Here is a 22,411-nt window from a genome sequence, read left to right as displayed (position 1 = left end):
CATGAATTCAGTTATCATGATGTAATTAAATAAGTTTCTCAACAATGTTCACATTTCAGTTACCAAAGTAATAACTGAGTAGATGCGTAAAGTAGAAACAGTCGCTGCTAGCTCTTTAGTCCACAAATCACTTCATAAATGACAGATGCACGAAGACTAGTGACCATCACTTCTTTCAAAGTCTGTCCCAAGATCAGTCACTGCATCAGTTATTCATTTCACACACACACACAGCAAAGTGTGTAGTTGTGTTGCCTCTTTGTCTTTAGCAATAAACTCCTCATGCATTTTATAGAAGTAGATACCTGAGAGGGAATTGACCACCAAGGATTAATGTACACCAAAGAAACAAAAAGTGATAGGGCACGGTGACTCACGCCTGTAATCCCAGCACTTTGGGAGGCCGAGGTGGGCGGATCACGAGGTCAGGAGATCGAGACCATCCCGGCTAACACGGTGAAACCCTGTCTCTACTAAAAATACAAAAAATTAGCCAGGTGTGGTGGCGGGCGCCTGTAGTCCCAGCTACTCGGGAGGCTGAGGCAGGAGAATGGCATGAACCCAGGAGGCGGAGCTTGCAGTGAGCCGAGATCGCGCCACTGCACTCCAGCCTGGGCGACAGAGCAAGACTCCATCTCAAAAAAAAATAGAGTAAAATTTTTTTTAGATTGGCCAGGTATTGGTGGTATGCACTTGTCCCAGCTACTGAGGAGGCTGAGGTGGGAGAATCTCTTGAGCCTGGGAGTTTGAGGCTGCAGTGAGCTATGTTTGTGCCACTGTACACCAGCCTGGGTGATAGAGTGAGAACCTGTCTCAAAAGAAAAAAAAAATATTTTTTAAATGGTGAGGCTGGAAGTAAAATTTGAGTGCAATGCAAATGGAATTGTAGATGAAATAGCTGATATTGGACTGTGAATGCTGTTGCCCTTCTAGAGACTAGATATACAGCCAGAGAAACCTTGTGAAGGCAAACTTACAAATGAGGAAAGAGATGGAAAGGATGAAGATGTCTCCAGAGAGTGACACTAGTAAAAAACTGTACATTAAAGGGACTCTTGGAGCTATCTAATGACATTGGAAGATCAAGTGATAAAATGTTGAAACTAAATCCAAACTTAGAAAGGAGTAAAGACAATTTGCCAAGGCACGGAAAAAATGCTTGTTCTTCATCGTAAGTTATAGAAGGGAAAAAAGAAGACAAGCATGGTTTTTCATACAGAAATAAAACACTTGATTCTCAATATTTCTACTGTTTTAAAGTGAGTCTACTAAATTTTAGTATTTTAATTTTGTTACGCATTGAACAGAGTTTTTAATACTTTCACACAAATTTTTTTTTCATTGTTTAGTTTTGTTTCGAAGACTTAAAGATTCATACTTTTTTTTTTTTTTTTTTTTTTTTTTGAGACAGAGTCTTGCTCCGTTGCCCAGACTGGAGTGCAGTGGTGCCATCTTGGTTCACTGCAAGCCCCGCCTCCTGGGTTTTCACCATTCTCCTGCCTCAGCCTCCCGAGTAGCTGGGACTACAGGCACCCGCCACCACGCCTGGCTAATTTTTTGTATTTTTAGTAGTGACGGGGTTTCACCATGTTAGCCAGGATGGTTTCGATCTCCCTACCTTGTGATCCGCCCGCCTTGGCCTCCCAAAGTGTTGGGATTACAGGCGTGAGCCACCGCGCCCGGCCAGATTGGTACTTTTTTTTTTTTTTTTTTTTTTTTTTTGAGGCGGAGTCTCGCTCTGCCGCCCAGGCTGGAGTGCAATGAGCGATCTCGGCTCACTGCAAGCTCCGCCTCCCGGGTTCGTGCTGTTCTCCTGCCTCAGCCTCCCGAGTAGCTGGGACCACAGGTGCCCGCCACTGCCCCCGGCTAATTTTTTGTATTTTTAGTAGAGACGGGGTTTCACCGTGTTAGCCAGGATGGTCTCGATCTCATGACCTCGTGATCTGCCCACCTCAAGGACTTTTGGACAATTTTTTTTAAAGGTCACAGAACAATTGTAATTTTCCCCCAATGATGATTAAGATCACTTTGCATAGTTTCAGCAAGCAGGACATCTTTGTAGTCCTGCACTATTGTGCAAAGTGAAGACTGACTTTATATGCTTTTTTAGATGAGTATACAAAGTAAGAGCTTTCTGTTTTTCGGGCAGAGTTGGGAAGGAGATGAAAGCAGAAAATGTGGTTGCTCTCTTTGCAGGAGCAGAGCTGCAGAAGCACACTGATTGCTTTCAGAGCACAACCTTGTGATGAAAACATTCAGGCATTTAATCTATTTTATAATTTACACTAGATTATAAAACTAGATTCACCTTTCTGCATATCAACAAATCCACTTTTTATGCTGTCCTGAAAATTCAAATATTCATGATGATGAATTCAAGTGTAATTATAATAGGTACCTTTCTCACATTGAAGACAAGATGTCCAATAATGTTGCAGAATCTTTTGGTATAAGATTTTTTTGTTGTTGTTTGTTTTTTATTTTTTGAGATGGAGTTTCGCTTTGTCACCCAGGCTGGAGTGCAATGGCGTGATCTTGGCTCACTGCAACCTCCGCCTCCTGGGTTCAAGTGATTCTCCTGCTTCAGCCTCCCAAGTAGCTGGGATTACAGGCGCCCACGACCAAGCCTGGCTAATTTTTGTAGTGTGGAGATGGGGGTTTCACCATGTGGGCCAGGCTGGTCTCGAACTCCTGACCTCAGGTGATCCGCCCGCCTTGGCCACCCAAAGTGCTGGGATTACAGGTGTGAGCCACCACGCCAGGCCTAAGATCTTTAATTGGAAGTCATTGGACCTCAACTGCATGCATGTAAACTCACTCTTCTGGCCAATCAGAAATGATATCTGATCATTATCCTGTATATTACCTACTACATTGCTGGTTGAATTACTTCCAGTACTAGATATGCAGTTTCGCTGTAGATGATGGTAGCTATGATGATACCAAAGAAAAGGCTCTTTTTAGCCCAACAAAAATTTTAAAAGAACATTGAAAACAAGCAGAGTGGATACATAAGAAATATGCAAACAGATATGTAGAGGAAAATTAACCTGTTCTATTCTGATATAAAAACGATGCATAGTATTTCATTTGTATTTTACAAAAGAGAACCGAGATTATATGCAGCATTTACAAGTATCTTACCTTGTACCACAATGCAGGATTCCACTGCTCCTCATCAATGTACTCTGAATTTCTGTATATGAGCTTCTGTGACATAAAATGGGGCGAATCTGCTGAGACTTGCCCTCAGGGTTTCCATCCTTAACCAAACCCTACTATATATTGGAGGGTCCATGGCCTTCTTCTCAAAACAAATAATTAAAATAAAAATCAAGATCCTAAGACAAAATATACCTAGCTCTTTTTAAATAATGAGCAATGATTTCTTGTCATTAGATGCATTCCCCCTCACTCAGGAATAAGAGATCTTTAACAGTTTCTTCTTTATCCGCTTAGGCCAAAGGAAAAGCCAAAATGATCACTACATATTAAAATTTAGATATTAATTTTATTTTCTCTAAGTTTTTATACTTCCTAGTTTTAAAAAAATGCCAAAATGCTCCTGTTCTGGTTTTCTATGGTTTAAATAGCAACATAGGATGGCAACGTTGGCTTCTGCGGTTTTACAAAGACAACTCCCTTGGTGTACAGAATGGTCAACAAAGGCTCTAGCCTGATGGCAGCTGGGAACAAGTCTAACTTTCTGGAACTCATCATTTGAGGCTTCAGCGGCAGCACGCTTCTTTTCTTTTTTTTTTTTTTGAGATGGAGTCTTGCTTTGTCGCCCAGGCTGGAGTGCAGTGGCCCCATCTCAGCTCACTGCAAGGTCCGCCTCCCAGGTTCACGCCATTCTCCTGTCTCAGCCTCCCGAGTAGCTGGGACTACAGGTGCCCATTGTCACACCCGGCTAATTTTTTGTATTTTTAATAGAGACGGGGTTTCACCATGTTAACCAGGATGGTCTCGATCTCCTGACCTCGTGATCCGCCTGCCTTGGCCTCCCAAAGTGCTGGGATTACAGGCGTGAGCCACCACCCGGCCTCAGCACACTTCTTTTCATTTGCCTGCTCCATTATCTCGTGAGTTGCCTCTTTGATTTCATTTCTCCTTTTTTGTTTTTTTTTGAGCCTCAGTGCCTGGCTCAATGACATCTTTATGATCAGTTCCTAGATTACTTTCCTTACCTGCTGGCCCTTTTGTAAAGATTCCTTTGACTTCCTTCCTTCCGCCCCCTCCCTTCCTTGGCATCCTCTTTAAGAAGCTAAGGCCCCATGAGGAAGAGATGGTATTGGATCCCTTGTGCCCTCCACCCTTTCCTCAGGGACGTGCAGCACCTAGGGGTGCAGGAGACCAGATTTCTGCTGATGCAGCCCCCACCCAGTCGTTTGCTCACTCTGCACAGATCTGTGGCCTATGTGGTCATGCAGAGGTGGCACAGTGGCTGCAGAGGCTGAGCAGAAGCTGAGATGGCTGCAACTCTGAAGCACGTGCTAGCTTAACAGGATGAGGTCCAGGAGCAATGGTTCGTAGCAGGAAGGGGAAATGTAAACTGACTTCCCTGGTTCTTTCCTTAAAGGTCTCTCAAACAGTACTATGTGGGGGTCTCTAGAGAAGTTTCATTATTTTTCCAGAGGGGAACACTCCATCTTCAAACCTAGGGTAAAAATGTAGTATATGTGTGGGTGGGCACCTGGGCTAGGGGTTCAGCCTTCTTTTTGTAGATTTTCACAGATGATTTTCAGCTCCATGCCTGGCTCATGCCTTGTGTTTTAGTATCCTTGAGCCCTGGGCTTCTCCTCTTCCCCCAAGAATAAACCCCCAGCCTCCAGCGTGGGGGAGAGGTTATAAACCTGGCTTCTGGTGTAGGGGTGGGATTACCCCTACCCACATCCAATTTCAGTTCTCTGCTTCACACCTCACTCTGTCTCAGAGTCCTGAACCTCTATCTAGAGTTCTGGAAACCCTGTGCCCAGAGGCATTCCATCAGCTTGCATTTTGTAGTTCCTGCCATCCTCCTCCATCAGCTTTCTATCTCCTGAACACACTTCCAGTTTTTTTCTATTGGTAACATTTTCCTTCCATTCTCTCAGTGGTGGGTTTTGTATCCCTTTGTGATCCTTTATTACTATTAGGAAGGCAGAGCAGATGATTGTATGCAATTAGCCCACCATCTTTATCTGATTTCTCACATTGCTTTACCACACAAGGATTTCAATCAGTGGACTTGACCAGAAATGAGAAAAGTGAAACTTCGTTTTAAAGTAGTATTTTATTTCTCTGGGCTGTGCACACTTAAGGCATTAGATCCACAGATGGGCTCATCCGCTGGGATGCTACTTGTGGTGATCATCTCCTAAGCCCCACGTTTTAGCCTTGTACAGAGTGATGTCACTGCAGACCCTGAAGTGATTCAGCCTGCGGTCATGGCGTTCTGGGTTGATCTAGAAAGGAGGATGCAGAATCAGAAAGAAGCCTGTGAGGATGCAGGAGGACCTGGGTTTGGAGTCAATGGGCCTGGCTTATATCAGGCTCCACCCTCCCAGCCTGTGGCTGCATTGCGGAATGGAGATGACCACATGTACATCAAAAAGGTTGTGAGGTCAGAGGAGAATAACCTACGCACAGTCGTGGTTCTCCCTGTCACACTGCCTGACTGGGAGGCCACAGTATCCTCAGCACCTAGAGCAAGACCCAGCGCATGCTAGGTATTCAATGCATATTTGCTGAAAGAATGAATTTGTTGAAAGAGTCACATAGAATCTAAGTAAAAGTCGGCACTCTGACACATCGATCTTATAGAAGTTACACCGTGCAAATAATTTAAAAAATGTATTTCCAGAAAATGTTACCAGGAGATGAGAGGCTGAATGATGGTCATTGAGTCTGGCTTTGCCAGTGTCCCAGTACTGAGACTGGAGGTATCTTGTCTATCCAAGGTGAGGCTCTGCCAGGGGGCAGGGAGCTTCAAGTTGCAGCTGATCAAGCCTCTTCTGGCCCAGCTACTTCATTCTGAAGCTCCAACTTAATTACCTCTTCTGGTTACACAACACCTGCATCTCATGGTTTTTGGGGTATACTTTCTTACTATGCTAGCAGTGCTCTTGTGATGGCATTGTCCCCAGGTTTATATGATGAACAGCATGGAATATTTGCAGACCCTCTGCAACTCCAGAGTGCTCACTGATCTGGAGACACATGCACTCTGTGATCTGCAGAGCCTACGAAGGTCTGAGCAGGGCAGGCCACACTTGTCCTTCCTGTCATCGTAAGCCTGCACGAGATGTCCTGGAAGGTCAAAGATGCAACATCTCCACATGCACACTTTGTACTTGTGTGAGCCAGGTCTTTACTCTTTAACAAAATGAAGAATGGTGAATTAATTTACTTGTGCATTGTACTATTCTTCTAAGTTGCTTCATGATCTATCTTGGCTGATTTCTATCTTCACACAAACACCCCATCCTTCACAACCTTTCTTCTCCCCGGCAAAGATTCTTTCCTTGAATGAACTCTACTCAGGAACCCTGAATTACTTTTCAACTAGGTCTGATTTTGGGATTTCCATTTCCTCTACATTGTCCAATTCTAGCAAAAATCCTGCTAAGCTGATTTAACCAGAACCCCCTACCTTTAATATCTGATCACCCTTGATATCTGATTGGGTTCCCCATCCTCCACCACTCTCCAAGTGATGTCTGATCCTGCTAGCCTGCCTTCAGCAAGCACCCTATTAGGTGGAAATTAGCCAGAATCTGCCCTTATCCCTGATGTTTCCTCCTAGTATTTTTCCGTCACTTACCCCCACCTCGTTCCTTGGCTACACAGTCGCACTTGCCCATGCTGTAATCAGAGTCGAGGCCAGGCTCTTTCCCTCCCTCACTGCAAAACCTCATAGTGGTGCCTATGCCCTTCACAGTAGTTTCCCCACTTGGAAAAGTCTTCTTTCTGGTTTTTAAATTTTAAATTTATTTTTTTCCACTAGCACTTCCAGTACCATTCCTTCTGGTTTTTAACAGTCATTGAATATTGACCCATTATTCATATTTATATTCAATAACTGTCATTGAATACATATTTTAACACTTTTCTCTTATTCACGATGTTACCTCCCCACCTCCTCTTTCTCTTTGAGTAGTTATCTTCTCCAGCTCTCTAACCATACCTGTCTCTTTGTACCAAGTCCGTCCTTGTAGGTGCGTATATATGTATACATATATGTGTGTGTATATGTGCGTATATATGTATACATATATGTGTGTGTATATGTACATATATATGTACATATTTTGTATGTATATATATAAAAAGAGGGGATATATATAAATAATTTTTATTTATATATAATTTTATTTTATATATTTTTATTTTATATAATTTTATATAAAATTTTATTTAATATTTTATATAATTTTTATATAAAAATTTATATAATAATTTATATATAATTTTATTTATATATATTTACATATATAAATAAAAAGAATATAAAAAGAGAGAATATATATATAAAAAGGGAGAATATATTTTTATATATATAAAAAGAGAGTATATATATATATATATATATATATATATATATATATACACACACATATATAAAGAGAGAAGAAGAAGTAAGAAAAAAAAGTTAGAGAAAAATATAGAATAGTTGCTTGGTAATGTAGGTGTTGAAGGTTTTCCTAAGCAAGGCACAAAACCCAGAAACCATAATGAGAATTGGTGGCATATTTGATGACTTAAAAATGAAAACCTTCTGCATGACCAAAGACATAAGCAGATTTAAAGACTCGTGTGGCAGAAATTTCTTTGACTTGTCTATTCCATATTGCACATTTCTTCCTTAAAAAAGGAAGCACTGTATTCCTTGGGGTGATTGTGTGCTAAAGTGGCTAATTGTGCCCTTCCAATCAAACAAGGAGAGGACCCTTACTCACACGTCCATTTTTTATGCTTTTTTGTTTTAATTTTTTAAATTTTTATTTTTTTAATTTTAAAAAATGTTATTTATTTATATATTTTTAAAATTAATATTTTTTTTAAGACAGAGTCTCACTCTGTCACCCAAGCTGGAGTGCAATGGCGTGATCTCGGCCCACTGCAACCTCCGCCTCCTGGGTTCAAGTGATTTTCCTGCCTCAGCCTCCCCAGTAGCTGGACTATAAGCGTGCGACACCATGCCCAGCTAATTTTTGTATTTTTAGTACAGATGGGATTTCACTATGTTGGCCAGGCTGGTCTCAAACTCTTGACCTCAGGTGATCCGCCTGCCTTGGCTTCCCAAAGTGCTGGGATGCCAGGTGTGAGCCACTACGCTCAGCCACATGTCCATTTTTTATGGATAAGGAAGCCGAACTCAGAGATATTGAGTGGTACACCCAAGACCACCTTGCTGATAGCTGATGGAGCTGACTCAGGTATCTGTTGTCAGTACCTTTATTTAAACACACAGTGTTTACCATGTGCCAGGCACTGTTCCAGGTACTGCACAAATATCACCTCGTTTCATCCTCATAACAAGCTTATGAGATAGGTACTGTATTAGCTCCATTTTACAACAATTAAACTGAGTCATAAGAGAGCTTAGTAACTTATCCAGCTGGTAAGAGGTAGCCAGGTTCAAGCCCAGGCATGTCTGGCCCCCTGCTCTATTCTACGGTCACCACTTACATTGCTGCTGTGTTTCCTCGTATTTCCTGAGGAAGGAGCCACGCTTACCAAGGGCTCTAAGTCCCATCCAACTTCCTGGTTTTCAGTCTGTGTCTCTGGGTACTTCTTCCTTGGTCCCTGGGCAGCATGGTGAATGAGATTCAGAAACCTGGCTGGGAGACGAGGTATGAGTTATGAAGGAGTCAGGCTTTGGGACCAGAGGTTGGTCCTGTGCCCTTTCCTGCGTCCACATTGTTCCTTTCAGGCAGAGCATCTGTGCCTTGGAGGTTTGCCTCAGCCTCAAGACCAGGGTGTCTGGTCTCTCCACTCATCTTTCAACAAATATGTGGTGAGCTCAAACTCTGTGCCAGACATGCTTCCGGGCGCTGGGCATAGAGTGCTGAGTGACAGCATGGTCCCTGCTCTCCTAGAGCTCATACTCTAGATGAGGCAGAGGACACAGTATTCAGGTTTACAAAATGACGTGATGGTGGCAGACAGGGATACACACTGTGAAGAAAGGAATAGGTGAAGGGTCATGTGCAGGCAAGGGCAGCTGCTGTAGATGGGGTGGCGAGAGAAGGCCTCTCTGGTTGCCAAGCAGGAGCCAGCCCTGGGAAGAGGCAGAGGAAGAGCACACCACAGGCAGCAAGAGCAAAGGTCCTGAGGCATGAGCGAGTTTGGCCAGTGTAGCACAACAGAGAGTGAGGAGCAAGGTTGTAAGAAGTGAGGTCAAATCTTTGTGTATTGAAATAAGTATGGCTGCCGACAACAGATGGATTTGCAGCTCCATAGTTCTGCCCTATCGAGTCTCCACCGGAGAGACGCAGGCGGACAATGGAATGAACCTGGGCTTTGGAGTCAGTGCTACTACCGGCTTGTTGGGTGGCATCACTTCTCTGGGCCACTTTACTCATCTGTGAAATGGGAGGAAAATGTCTATCTCAGCAAGATGGCTGGGAATGAAATGAAGGAAGGTGATTCAAGGGACTGACACTGGGCTGGCACATCCTTCATATAAGAGAGCGAGCAGCTAACTCCTGCCTGGCTTTCAGGACCCTCATTTCCTGTTCTATTCCTTATTGCTACAGGTTCCCAGCTTGCATCCTTTACCCTAGTCAGGAGAGTGCACTACAGATAACACCTTATTGCCTGTGATGATGCCCTCTCTATTAGTCTACTGACTTATCTGCCTCCTTCGTAATGCTCTGAGAGCCTCTGCTCCCCCACTTCCCATCCCAGCCGCGGTCATCTGTCCTTCACCAAATTTTGCTCATGGAAGGTAGAGGGGAAGAAGGAAAGCTTTCCAAGAGGGATCAGGTTTTCCACCAAATATCTCTCCTCTCTCACTCCCAAATAGGGCCCTTTCTCCACCTGTATGTTGTGGCCATGCCAAACTACTTGTAGTCATGTTTCTCATTTCTGTAACTTTCTATAGAACTCGGAATGTCCTTCCACAATCTTCTCCACCTCACCCTGTGGTCGCCTCCTCCAAGAGGTCTTCCCAGAACTCCACTGCCTGATGGGGGCACCTGTTTCCTATGCTGTTCTCACATCAGTCATGGTCCCTCTTTACTTGTCTACTTATTTCCAAGTCTACTTCTCTTCTTCTTCATTATGCTATGAGATCCCTCCACCCAGCCCCACCATAGAGATTACCTAATAATGAAAATAATCATGGGACTAATATTTCCTGAGGACCATGTACCAGCTACTGTTCTATGCACTGGTATTGCTTTGTTTAATCCTCACATCAATCCTGAGAAATAGGCTAAAAGAGGTAAAAAACCTGCCCAATGTTACAGTTAATGAGTAGCAGAACCAGGATTTGAACTGAGTTAGTACAGCTTCAGAACTTGTGCTTATAACATCTACATGTTTGATGAATGAACGAAGGCAATGTTAAGTCAATAGGAACGTTAGTTGGCTTGACAGTTATAATTGAGTATGTCCATCTTTTAAAAATTTTATTTAAAAAAATTTTTATTTTTTTTATTCTATCTACCACAGACTGTCTGAGTATCCGTCTTTTTTGAGCTTGGTTAGTATGAGTCCCATTTCCAGGATCAAAGCAGAGGACTCTGATGCTTGCTCCAAGATATCACGACCCTGAGAGGTCTCTCCAGCCAGCCTGCCTCTCTGGGCTCTATCTCAATGGCATTTCAAAGCCCAGGACTTACCATCTGCAGGTTCCTCCAGGTTATCATGCCAAGACATGGGCTTCCTGGTGACTGTATGAACTAGAAAAAAAGAAAACAGCTTCACAAGTTCAGATTAAAACATGAGTTCCCTGCCCTCTCTAAGGTCCACCTTAAACAGGGCACCCATTTGGCACTCACTGAGTATCTGGTACATGCCAGGTATTATCCTGGGTGCTAGGATAATGCACGATTGGATAAGGCCCTCAAGAACCTCACAATCTAGAGTGGCACTGCCCAGAATGGTGGTCATCAGCCACATGTGGCTCCTTGAATTTGAATAACTAAAATTAATTACAATGAACACTTCAGTTCCTTAGCCACGTTAGTCACACTTCAAGTGCTCAATAGCTGCAGGCGGTTAATGGCTACAGTTTTGACTACAGCCAAGACAGAGAACATTTTCATCACTGATGAATTCTCTTGGACAGTGCTGGCCTATGGGGAAGGCCAAAGAGGTTTGCCAGGCAGTGATCTATGCCCAGGAGGGCACATGGTAACAGAGGAGCAGCACCCACATTCATCCACTCAGCTCATAATTACTGTGCACTGAAGAACAGGCTGTAAACAAGACAGAGCTGGCTCTTGTGTCCCCTGAGCTTTTACTCTATTTGTGGTGACAGGCAATAAACATACATATATCACCCGGCAAATGTAAGTGTGATAGAGAACAGTAAAGCAGGTTACGTGGATGGAGAGTTGGCGTTGGGGCTGGGGTGTGGGTGATGTATCTCTAGGGAGATACATATGAGCAGAGTTTTGAATGAAGTGAGGGAATGTGCTGTGTGTGTGGGAAGCATATGAGCGTGAGCCTGGGGAGTTTGAGAAACGTCAAGAGAGCCAGAGTGGCTCCAGTGGAGTGAGCTGGATGGAGAGTAGTGGGAAATGAGCAGACACCAGTAGAAACCAGTGGTCTCCAAGCTGCTTGTCTCAAACTCCTATCAGTAAAAGAACTTTAGAGCATGCGCCCTTAAAATATGTATAATTATATAGTTTTTATGGACTATTATCAGTATATTAGCAAATAAAATTTCTATCTTTATAAATAAAAGTAATCAATACAAGTTGTAATATTTTCTCACTTTATTCCAATGGCTCACATGCTCAAGGGACATGAGCTGGGAGGCAGCATTTTCCCTAGAGAGCATGAAGGTTGCCTGAAGAGATTATTTCCATTATTTGGAATGGACCGAGTTTGAACGGCTTTGGACACTAATTTGCTTTCCTGAAACTAGTGGTTGGGGACTCCAGAAGAAAACCAAGTTAGTTAGAAGGAAAGTGAAGACAGTACATTTTCTCTATAGAGCCAGGCAACAAAGTGGACTTTACATATTAGGCACAGAGTTGGGAGAGGCATTCAGGAAGAAGCAACAATGTTTATGCAGGTAAAGTGGGAAATGACATGATGCATTTAGGAAATCCATGTATTTAGAAATGGCAGGGGGGAAAGGAGTGTGTGTGGGATTCGTCAGCAATGGCTGGTGCAGAGTAGGCACCAAAGTATTTCTTAAAGGAGCAGGGTAAAGTGGGGGAGAGGAGTATGGCATGAAGCTGGCAGGAACCAGAGCCAGATCCAATGCGCCTTATGTCGTGATTGATTTAAACTTTACCTCAGAGGCTATGAGAAGGATTTTAGGTGGGATTGATGTGATCTAATTGTCCTCCTAGCATAGTGCTAAGCTAGCAAAGGTGTAGGGGTTTGGTCGGAGGGGCCAGCTTGGAGGGAAAGAGAATAAGGAGTTGGGAGCCCATCAGACCAATCCAGGCGGCAAGGACTAGGGCCCTGCAGAGGCTTCAGGAGTGAGGATGCAGGCAGAGGCTGTTTGAGGTGCTACTTAGAGCATGAAAGTACCTGAGCAGAGGCAGAGAGGAATCCATATGCATGATGGTGTCTTTCACTGAAGCAGGAACAAGTGGGTCAGGGGAGAGGAATGTTAATAAACAGGACTTGTGCCTTTTTTTAAGTGTGTGGAGGGAGAGAGACCTTGAGGAGGACTCCGAGGCTTCTAATGATCATGAGATCATTAGATGATGAGAGTGAATGATTCTGATCATGAGAGTGAATCATCCGGGGCCTTTTGCAGAGACAGGGTATTCTGGAGCAGCAGAGAGTGGGGAAGGTGGGAATGAGCCTGGCTTTCCTCCTGCTGGGTCTGAGGTGCCTGTGGGTTGTCCAGGGAGGGGAGCTGTGAGGTGGTTGGGCGTGTGGATCTGAAGCTCCATTTCAGGCCCAGTGGCATTCAGGGGAAGCTGGTGTGACAGGACAGAACAAACTGCCCAAGGAGAGTGCTCAGTGACAAGAGTGGAGGGTAGGGATGTTTTATCAGGGGGCACCCCAGAACTTTCCGAAGGGCAATATCAGAAGCCTGAAGAAAAACCTTTCACTTGTTAAAAACAACCCAAAATACAAACAAAAACAAAACACAAACAGCCTGCAAAATATAATTATTTCAAAAGTAAAATAATAAAAAGCCCTACAACTTTTTTTTTTCTACAACGAAAAGATTTAATCGTGTTGCGCATGAACTTTAATACAGCGAATACATCTGATATGATGTGGCCTCTCCAAAGTCATGGTTCCTGAAATCTAGGAAAGGGGGCGGGTGCTGGGGAAAGAGTTTTTGCTGGGACCGCGTTCCCACCCCGCAACCCGGAGGGCTCCTCCTTCCCCGGCGCCCTCCCGCTCTCGCCCTTCCCCCACCCCGCCGTGCCTCTCACTCTTGCGGAGGGGATTCACGTGATACTGCGTGTAGAGTTTCTGGGTTCGTAGCTCCTTGAGGTACAGTTCCCGCAAGATCTGGTTCTGATGGACCTCATCTGGAATCACCTTCTCTTTTGGGTGTCCCGCCATGGCCTTGGGCTGCCACGCGCCCTCTTGCCTGGGCCTTCCACAGTCTCCAGGCAACGCGTCCCCGCTGTCTCCAGGCAACGGCGTCCCGTGGTCTCCAGGCAACAGCGCTCGGGTAGTGCTGCCCGGTCGGGGCGGGTCTCACTCTGCCAGCCCCTTACCCTGCCTGCATCGCCCCGCCCCGCGCCCGCCGGTCGGGATCTTATTTCGCGCCCCGCCCTATTCTGGCACTGTACTCACTTGCCCCAGCTCCTCAGGCCCGGCTGGTTACTAGAAGGTCCCCTGGATACCGCCAGGAAAGGGCTTCCCGGCAAGGGGCAGACCCAGGAGGTAAGGGACAGATGATTGGACCTCACCTTGGCCAATCATTTCCTAAAAAAGCTTTTGGAAGGAGTCAGAAACCTCTCCCACCTTAAAGCAGATGCCCAGAATCAAAACCTCACAAAAAAACCGGAGGTTTCCTCTCTGAGAAAACGTTCTGGCCAGTGTGACCAAGATTACCAATGTGATAATATTGACAGAATAAACCTTTCCTAATTAAGGAACTTGTTGACTTTATAGTTTATTTTTAATGTTTGTGTTTAAAATGCACGTAATATAATTTTACCATCTTAGCCATTTTTAAGTATTACAGTACAGTAGTATTAAGTATATTCAAACTATGTGAAACCAATCTCCAGAACTTTTTCACACCCATTAAACAACAAGTTTCCCTTTTCCCTTCTCTCCAGCCCCTGGCATTTCACTTTTTGTTTCTATGAATTTGAGTCTGCTAGATACCTTAAATAATGTAGTTTATTTTAAAAGAATCGCCGAGCACGGTGGCTCACGCCTGTAATCCCAGCACTTTGGGAGGCTGAGGCAGGTGGATCACCTGAGGTCAGGAGTTCGAGACCAGCTTGACCAACATGGTGAAACCCCATCTCTACCAAAAATACAAAATTAGCCAGGCGTGATGGCATATGCCTGTAATCCCAGCTACTCGGGAGGCTGAGGCAGGAGAATCGCTTGAACCCGGGAGGCGGAGGTTGCAGTGAGCCAAGATTGCGCCACTGCACTCCAGCCTGGGGGACAGAGCGAGACTCCTTCTAAAAAATAAAAAATAAATAAAAAGTAGGTCTAGCATAAAGAAAGAAGCCACCCCTATTTTTAGTAAGCACCTAAATACTGTCTGAAGACTGTGCTCTTCCCCACTCAGTACTTCATTCATTCATCCATCCATTCATTCGCTCAGGACACAATGTGAATTGCAGAATGGGTTTAGTCTGGGACACAGTGTTGAACAAAATTTTTAATTGGATTGTTTATCAATTTGTTGGAGTTCTTAATATATTATTTTGAGGGCTGTACATGCTGCAAATGTATTTTCCCTCTGTGTGGCTTGCCATTTTAGTCTCTTAATGGTGTCTTCTGGACACCAAAAGTTAAACGTAGTCAAATATATTAGTCTTTTCCTTTATGATTATTGCTTCTTAATTTTCATTTAAGACATCTTTTTCTAATTTGATGACCTGAGGTTACTTTTATGTTACTTTTTAGAGCAGTGCTGTTCAATAAAAGTATGAGCTGAGCCACTCATGTAGTTTAAAACATTCTAGTATCTGCATTAAGAGAGCAAGAATTAGATAAAACTAATTTTAATAATGTGATATTTAACTCAGTATATCCAATTTGTCAATGATTCAACGTTTGAATATAAAAATTATTGAGATATTTTACATTGTTTTGTCCTACTAATGTTTAAAATCCAGTGCAGATTTTACACTTCATAACACATCTCAAGAGCTCCATGGCCATCTGTGGGCAGAACTATTAATATTTAAGAGGATTTGTTGTTTTACCCTTTCTCAGTGAGATCTGTATTCCACCTGAAATTGGTTTTCGAGTGCAGTGTGAGGTAGGAATCCAGCTTAATTTTTTCTTTCCAAAGGAGTATCCAGTTGACCCACCAGCAAATTATTGAAGAGATAGTCCTTCCTCACTGGTCTGCTATGCTACTGTGTCCATAAAAAAAGTGTCCCCATTTGTGCAAGTCCATTTCTGGACTCTATTCTGTGCCATTGGTCTATTTGTCTAAGCTTGCAACAGCACTACACTATCTTAATTACCATAATTTATGTAACACATTCTAATATCTGGTAGGGAAGAATGTCTTCTCAAGACAGTCTTGCCGCTTCTTGGCCCTTTGTATGTCCATATAAATTATAATGAGCTTGTCAAGTTCCCTAAAAATATCTTTTGGGATTTTTATTGAGATTATATTGAATCTAGACCTCAGTTTGAGGAGAGCACTTCTTAATGTCATGTGTTCATGTGATGCTATCATCTGGTCAGGATCTGGACACATTCTTGCCTTCTAGACTGCTACCTTTCCCATTCTGAAGTAGAAGTGCTGCCTGAGCAAGAGGCTCACCCTCAGAGCTTTGATGAGAGCACAATGGAGGGACCCTCCCCTTTTTGCAGGAGACATTTCTCAAGGGCAGAACGTCCTTGGGATGGTCCTGGAATCCTAGGATGAAGAAAATGGAGTCTGGGAGGAACCAGACCAAAGGAAACAAACCTAAGTCCCCATCTATCTACAGCAGGGACCTTGTGCCCTATGTGTGATTCTCAGGGGTTGCACTCACTTGAATGCAGGGCAGATCGACAAGACTTACCCTCCAGAGAACACATTAGATGTGTTCCACTCTTCACTCTCCTCTTCATTCTCTGTCAATGGCCCTGCAGTTTGCTCTGTGGCTACAGACCAAGTTCCGTGGAGAAGCCAGTCTCAAACGTAGAGAACCTCATGCAGGCTGGCTGACCAGGCATGAGAGGAAAGGAGCAAACTGTCAAAAAAAAGGAAATCTCTGGCATCTGAAGAGGATTGCCCAGACGGGAATGGAGACAAAATAGAAATAGTATCAAGGTAACCAGGATCTGGTCATGGAAAAGGGGTCCTGTCACTTACCAAGGCTGAAGGTGGGTTTGCTGTTGTCTTGCATTCCGTGTGTCCACCAGGCCAAGCTGCTGGGAATCCACAGTCCTGGCAATTCTGAACTGCCCCAGAACTGTCCCAGCATGAGGGAAACCATCTCTCCAGGATGAGAGCTGTGAATTGTCATGGTTGGTTGGGGGTGGCTCGATTGGGAGTGGGAGCTAGAGTACAGGGGATTAGAAACAAGGGCTAGGAGGAGGAGCGGGGGAAAGGCAGGGGTGTAATGGAAATTGGGACCCTGATGAACGTGGTGGCAGCAGATGCACGGTTTAAAACCCACAGAGGAAGAGCTGGGCAGATCCTTACAGTAGGGTAGTGGGCGGGGCTGACATTATTCGGAGAGGGGTAACAGATAGGGCAGAACCCCAAAAAAGTGGGATGGCACAGAAGACTAGGGTGCAGGCTTGAAAACTGAGGAAAAACAGCAGAAAGGAGGGCTGGATGATGAGAGCATTAAGGAACAGAAAAGGTGAAGTCATGGGTTGAGAAAGAGAAATTTGAGGTAGCTTGCTTGTCATTCTTTCAAATGGGAGCTCTAGTTACTTGTCCAAAGGAGTCCAAATGAGTCATTGGGATGTGGCCAGACCAACTCCAGGATTTATCTCACACACAGCCCTCACATCATCCCCTAACTGAATGCCCATTATGAAATGTACATACACATCCCTTTTGGTCTAGTGAGCAGGTCCCACCAATCAGGGAAATGGCACCAGTTTCTAGGTTTAAGAGTTGTCATGGGAAATGGCAAAGAGAAGAAATGGGGCTGTAGTATTAATCCTTGTTTTTGGGATACTATGTAATTTTGCCCTCAGTAGGCAAAGATCGACCAAAGGGCTAGGATAGATTTAGAGGGCTGGAGCCTAGGTGAGCGGTGCTGAAGCAGGAATTGGGAAAATGGGAAGAAATTAGTGCCTCAGTCTCCTTCCCTGACAACACTGTTCAAAGCCCTTTTCACTGCATTTACATCACTGGATAGATATGTGTGATTAAAGATGTCACGTCCATTTTACCATGAGGACGGTGAAGACCAGAGAATGAAGTCCCTTAGGTGGGCAGGGGGTGACAAAGCAGATGGGACTAGAACTTGGGCCAAAAGAGGGCAGGTAGGAGGGAGCACAGAATGGCGCAAAGCGCAGACCAGCAGCTTTGCCTCCTCCTGCGTCTCTGAACAGGATCCTGTAGGGGGCGCTTCAGAGCAGAACTGAACTTTTTGGAGCGTACCATCTTGGTTCCTGTGTTCTCTTGGTTTGATGACTTACTCTTAACTGGAACCATAAACGTAGGGCTGAGACTGGCAGGATGACTGCCCACTCCTGGGTGCCTAACGACTAGATTTGGACTTCCTTGCTCACTACCAGAGATGCCTGTCTCCATGTCAGATAACTAAGGAGAGTGCACCCTCCCCCTTTCTTTAGTCTGATGAAGCAACCCCCTCTGCTGACCATTCCTGGTTTCTTTGATCACCATCCAAATCATAAGTCCCTTTGCTCACCTATTCTCTCTGGTATTTTTATCACCATAATATTCTGATTGTTCTTTCTTGACCCAACACCCTTTTCCTCCCTTACTTTCAGTTGTACTCTATGGAAGTTCAGCTGCATGATTAGTAAACTTCCCTATTTCCTTAGACTGCTTCTTTACGGACAGTTCCTTGCTTCTCCTGGCTTTAAATGTAATTTGGATTTCCCTTGAGGACATTGCTTCCTGTGTATTTCAGGTAGAGACTCTACTTATTCTCTGAAACTCTAAGTACTTCAGTGTGGGAATGTGGTGTATAGGTTCTCTTTGCTCCTTTTGATTCCTTTCAAACCATTATTCCTCTCTTCTTACTAAAAATCTCTTGCTCCTACATGTGTACTTGACGGTCGTGAGAGGAGAGAGAGGATTGAAAAACTACCTATGGTGTACTATACTTATTAGCTGGGTGGCAAATAATCAGTACACTAAACCCCTGTGACATGCAGTTTACCTATATAACAAACCTGCACATGCACTCCAGAGCCTAAAAGTTAAAAAAAAATTACACACATTATGTGTATATGTACATATGTATTTGTAATATAGACTTTATTTATTAAATATATAATATTTTAGAGTCAGTTGTATTGATATTTGTATAAATGATGCAACTATATATGATGAATAAATATAATATGCATATTTACATATAAATAGACTTGAATTGCTGGTATAAGGTATGTTGTTAAACTTTGATAAATTCAGCACGAACACTGAAAACCAGCAATGGTGCCCCAGCCCATGACCACTTCCCCACTGCAGTGCCCAAGGGTTATAAAGCTCAGGACCCTTCCTCATGTCTCTGCTGAGCCAAGCAGTGACCCGCCCAATGCTGAGGATGCTGAGTGACCTGAGGGGCCTGTGGGGGAACACAGAGCAGCAGGTGCTAGGGAGATAGATGGGCAGTGGGTCTGAACTCCCAGTGGAGGGATGTTTAAAGAAAAAAAAAGAAAACCTCTTGCTCCTTAAAGCTTGTGCTATACATCACCATTTCCCTGCACTGTCCCCTAACATCTCCTGGACACTCTCTTTCTCTCTTTTCCTATTAACATGGTTACAATTGTCTCAAAGTCCTATTCTTGAGTTCATCACACTGAGTGACTTCAGTGTTCATTTAGATGGCCTGATTCAATTCTCTGGCCTCTCTGTGTGTGTGTGTGTGTGTGTGTGTGTGTGTGTGTGTGTGTGTGTGTGTTTTACTTATAACACATTCTGTATTTTGTAAAAGTTTGATTTTTGACACATAAGAATTGCACATATTTATGGGGTACAGTGTGATATTTTAATACTTGTGTACATTGTGTAATGATCAAATCAGTATATGTAACAAATACATCACTTCACTTATTTCTTCTTGGTGCAAATATCGAAAAGACTCTTTTAGGTGTCTTGAAATATACAATAGTCCCTCTAACGTGAAATAGAACACCACAACTTATTTCTCCTATCTGTAATTTTGTACTCTTTCACCAATCTCTCCCCATTTCTCCTCTAGCAACCACTATTCTGTTCTGTACTTTTATGAGATTGACTTTTTTTAGAGCCCACAAATGAGTGAGATCATGTGGTATTTGTCTTTCTGTTCCTGGCTTTTTCACTTAATGTGATGTCCTCTAAGTTCACTTAACGTAATGCCCTATAGGTTCATCTACATTGCTACAAATAACAAGGTGTCATGCTTTTTTTATGACTAAATTTTATTCTATTGTGCATATGTACTACCTTTTCTTTATTCATTCATGCATTGATGGACTTTTAGGATAATTTCATAGCTTGGCTATTGTGAATAAGGCTCCAGGAAACATGGGAGTGCAGATTTCCCTTTGACATATTGATTTTCTTTGGATCAGTACCCAGTAGTGGGATTTCTGAATCATATGATACTTCTACTTTTAATTCATTTGTGGAAACTCTATACTGTCTTCCATAATGGTTGTACTAGTTTACACTCCCACCAAAACAGTGCGTAAGGGTTCCGTTTTCTCCATATCCACACAAGCATTTGTCATTTTCGCCTTTTTGATAATACTCATTCTATTTGGGGTGAGGTGATATCACACTGTAGTTTTGATTCGCATTTCCGTGATGATTAGTGATGTTGAACATTTTTTTCATATACCTGTTGGCCATATATATGTGTTCTTTTGAGAAATGTCTATTTTGGTCTTTTGCCCACTTTTAAATTATTTGGTGTTTGTTTTGTTTTGTTGCTATTGAGTTGTTTGATTTCCTTGTATATTTTGGATATAACCCCTTGTCAGATGCATGGTTTGCAAATTTTCACCAAAATTCACCACTTGCCTTCTACTTCAGCCACTTACGGGCATATCTGGTCCTTCTCATTACTGAAGAATTGTCCCACTTCTGAAACCACATATTCAGATATACTGTTCTCTGACCATGACTTCCTGTCCTTACAGTGTAGTCACTCTATTCCTCCCAATTCACTTGGCCTCCAGCCCACCATCCTTTCTTTCTCTATATCTAGTAACTCTAATTCCCATGCTGTCTTTACTTCCCTCCTTACATAGTTCAGAGTCAACAGTGGCCCTGAATAGCTGGGTGCGCTATTCTGGTAGCAGCCTGGAATATCTAGGCGCGCTGATATTTATTGCATGCAAGACAAGGGGTAGGGTAAGGAGGGTGAGTAGCCCAGGTGATTGATAAGGTCAAGCAAGTCACGTGATTGACCTTATCAATTTTATAATTTCAATGACTTTTTGAAAACCAATATTATCAATTATCTTGTGGTATTATATTTTTTAATCTCACTTTCCTGGAAAGAAAAACTCAACCTGGCTGATCCCAGCCATTTGCCTTTCATATGGTGCTGAATGCTGTTGAAAAAAACCTAAGAGATTGATACTAAATACTCTATCCTAAACAATACCCACAATCCTCAATTCATAGAAGTTGTTGGAATAAAAACATTGAAAGCAATCTAAATAATTATAAATAAAAATAGGTAAATTATGATAGAGCCACACCATACAATGTAAAAAGAAAATCCACAAATATAAAAAGGGATCTTATCAGTAATATATAAAAGAACTCCTATAAATAAATAAAAAAATACACACTCCAGTAGAAAAATAGTAAGAGACTTGAAAAGGTACTTCATGAAAGAGGAGAGCAAAATGACCAATCATATATAAAAAGGTGCTCAACCTCATAGATGTTCAGGAAAATACACATTAAAACCACAATGAGTTAATACTACAGACCCATCAGAATGGCTAAAATTAAAAAGATGGTCTATACCAAATACTGGCAAGATTATGGAGCAACTGGAGCTCTTATACCCTGATGCTGGGTATGTAGATTGGTAGAACCACTTTGGAAAATGTTTGACATTATGTACTAAAGAAGAGTATGCATGTATTGTATAATCCAGTAACTTCCTGCCTATCTATATGTATTAAATAAATGGTTACACAAGTATAATTAAAGATATGAAAGAGGTTCATGGCAGCATTATTTGTAATAAACCCAAACTGGAAACAACCCAATATTCAATGACAGTGTAATGGATAAATAAATTATGGCATATTCATACACTGGAATATTATACAGCAATACAAATGTATGAACAATACAGCTACATACAATAATATGGGTAAATCTGGCATACATAGTGTTGAATGAATGCAGGCACAATAATGCATCCTGTGTAATTCCATTTATAAAGCGTTTAAAGCTAAGCAAAACTAATCTATGGTGTAGGGTCCAGCCCTACGGGGCTTTGAGGGTGTTCTCCCCGTGTGCGGAGACGAGAGATTGTAAGAAATAAAGACACAAGACAAAGAGATAAAGAGAAAACAGCTGGGCCCGGGGGACCACTACCACCAAGACGTGGAGACCGGTAGTGGCCCCAAATAGCTGGGTGTGCTGATATTTATTGCATACAAGACAAGGAGGCAGGGTAAGGCAGGTGAGTCGTCCAGGTGATTGATAAGGTCAAGCAAGTCACGTGATCATGGGACAGGGGGCCCTTTGCTCTTAGGTAGCCGAAGCAGAGAGGGAAGGCAGTATATGTCAGCATTTTCTTCTATGCATTTATAAGAAAGATCAAAGATTTTAAGACTTTCACTATTTCTTCTACCACTATCTACTAAGAACTTCAAAGAGGAACCAGGAGTGCGGGAGGAACATGAAAGTGGACAAGGAGCATGACTACTGAAGCACAGCACCACAGGCAGGGGTTTAGGCCTCCGGATGACT

The 22,411-nt window shown here is 43.0% G+C and overlaps 1 protein-coding gene across 3 annotated transcripts, besides 1 other annotated feature; it reads right to left on the bottom strand.

The window, feature by feature from the left end:
- Positions 1 to 5,253: 5,253 nt before the first annotated feature.
- Positions 5,254 to 18,688, bottom strand: CFAP144 (cilia and flagella associated protein 144). Of its 3 annotated transcripts, none has more exons than XM_005270876.5 (4): positions 16,353 to 18,688; positions 10,830 to 10,889; positions 8,671 to 8,822; positions 5,254 to 5,444 (listed from the first exon to the last, which is right to left on the bottom strand). In XM_005270876.5, the coding sequence occupies exons 1-4, from the start codon at positions 16,399 to 16,401 to the stop codon at positions 5,337 to 5,339; spliced, it is 369 nt and encodes a 122-aa protein (XP_005270933.1). In that variant the 5' UTR covers positions 16,402 to 18,688; the 3' UTR covers positions 5,254 to 5,336. The 3 variants fall into 3 exon arrangements, with proteins under 3 accessions (XP_005270933.1, XP_005270932.1, NP_001094846.2); XM_005270875.6 differs by lacking the exon at positions 16,353 to 18,688 and adding an exon at positions 13,566 to 13,746; NM_001101376.3 differs by lacking the exon at positions 16,353 to 18,688 and adding an exon at positions 13,566 to 13,746 and having other exon boundaries at positions 8,719 to 8,822.
- Positions 7,757 to 8,720: an enhancer, noted in NCBI's record as "H3K27ac hESC enhancer chr1:43618601-43619564 (GRCh37/hg19 assembly coordinates)". NCBI's record gives its function as "activates a minimal SCP1, AML or CMV promoter by ChIP-STARR-seq in primed H9 embryonic stem cells {active_cell/tissue: H9 hESC(primed)}" and the evidence as "EXISTENCE:reporter gene assay evidence [ECO:0000049][PMID:30033119]".
- Positions 18,689 to 22,411: the final 3,723 nt, after the last annotated feature.

This window comes from Homo sapiens, chromosome 1, assembly GCF_000001405.40.
Source record: "Homo sapiens chromosome 1, GRCh38.p14 Primary Assembly".
Classification (NCBI taxonomy): domain Eukaryota; kingdom Metazoa; phylum Chordata; class Mammalia; order Primates; family Hominidae; genus Homo; species Homo sapiens.
The sequence above is the reverse complement of the archived record's forward strand: the minus strand, read 5'-3'. Positions and strand labels throughout refer to the sequence as shown.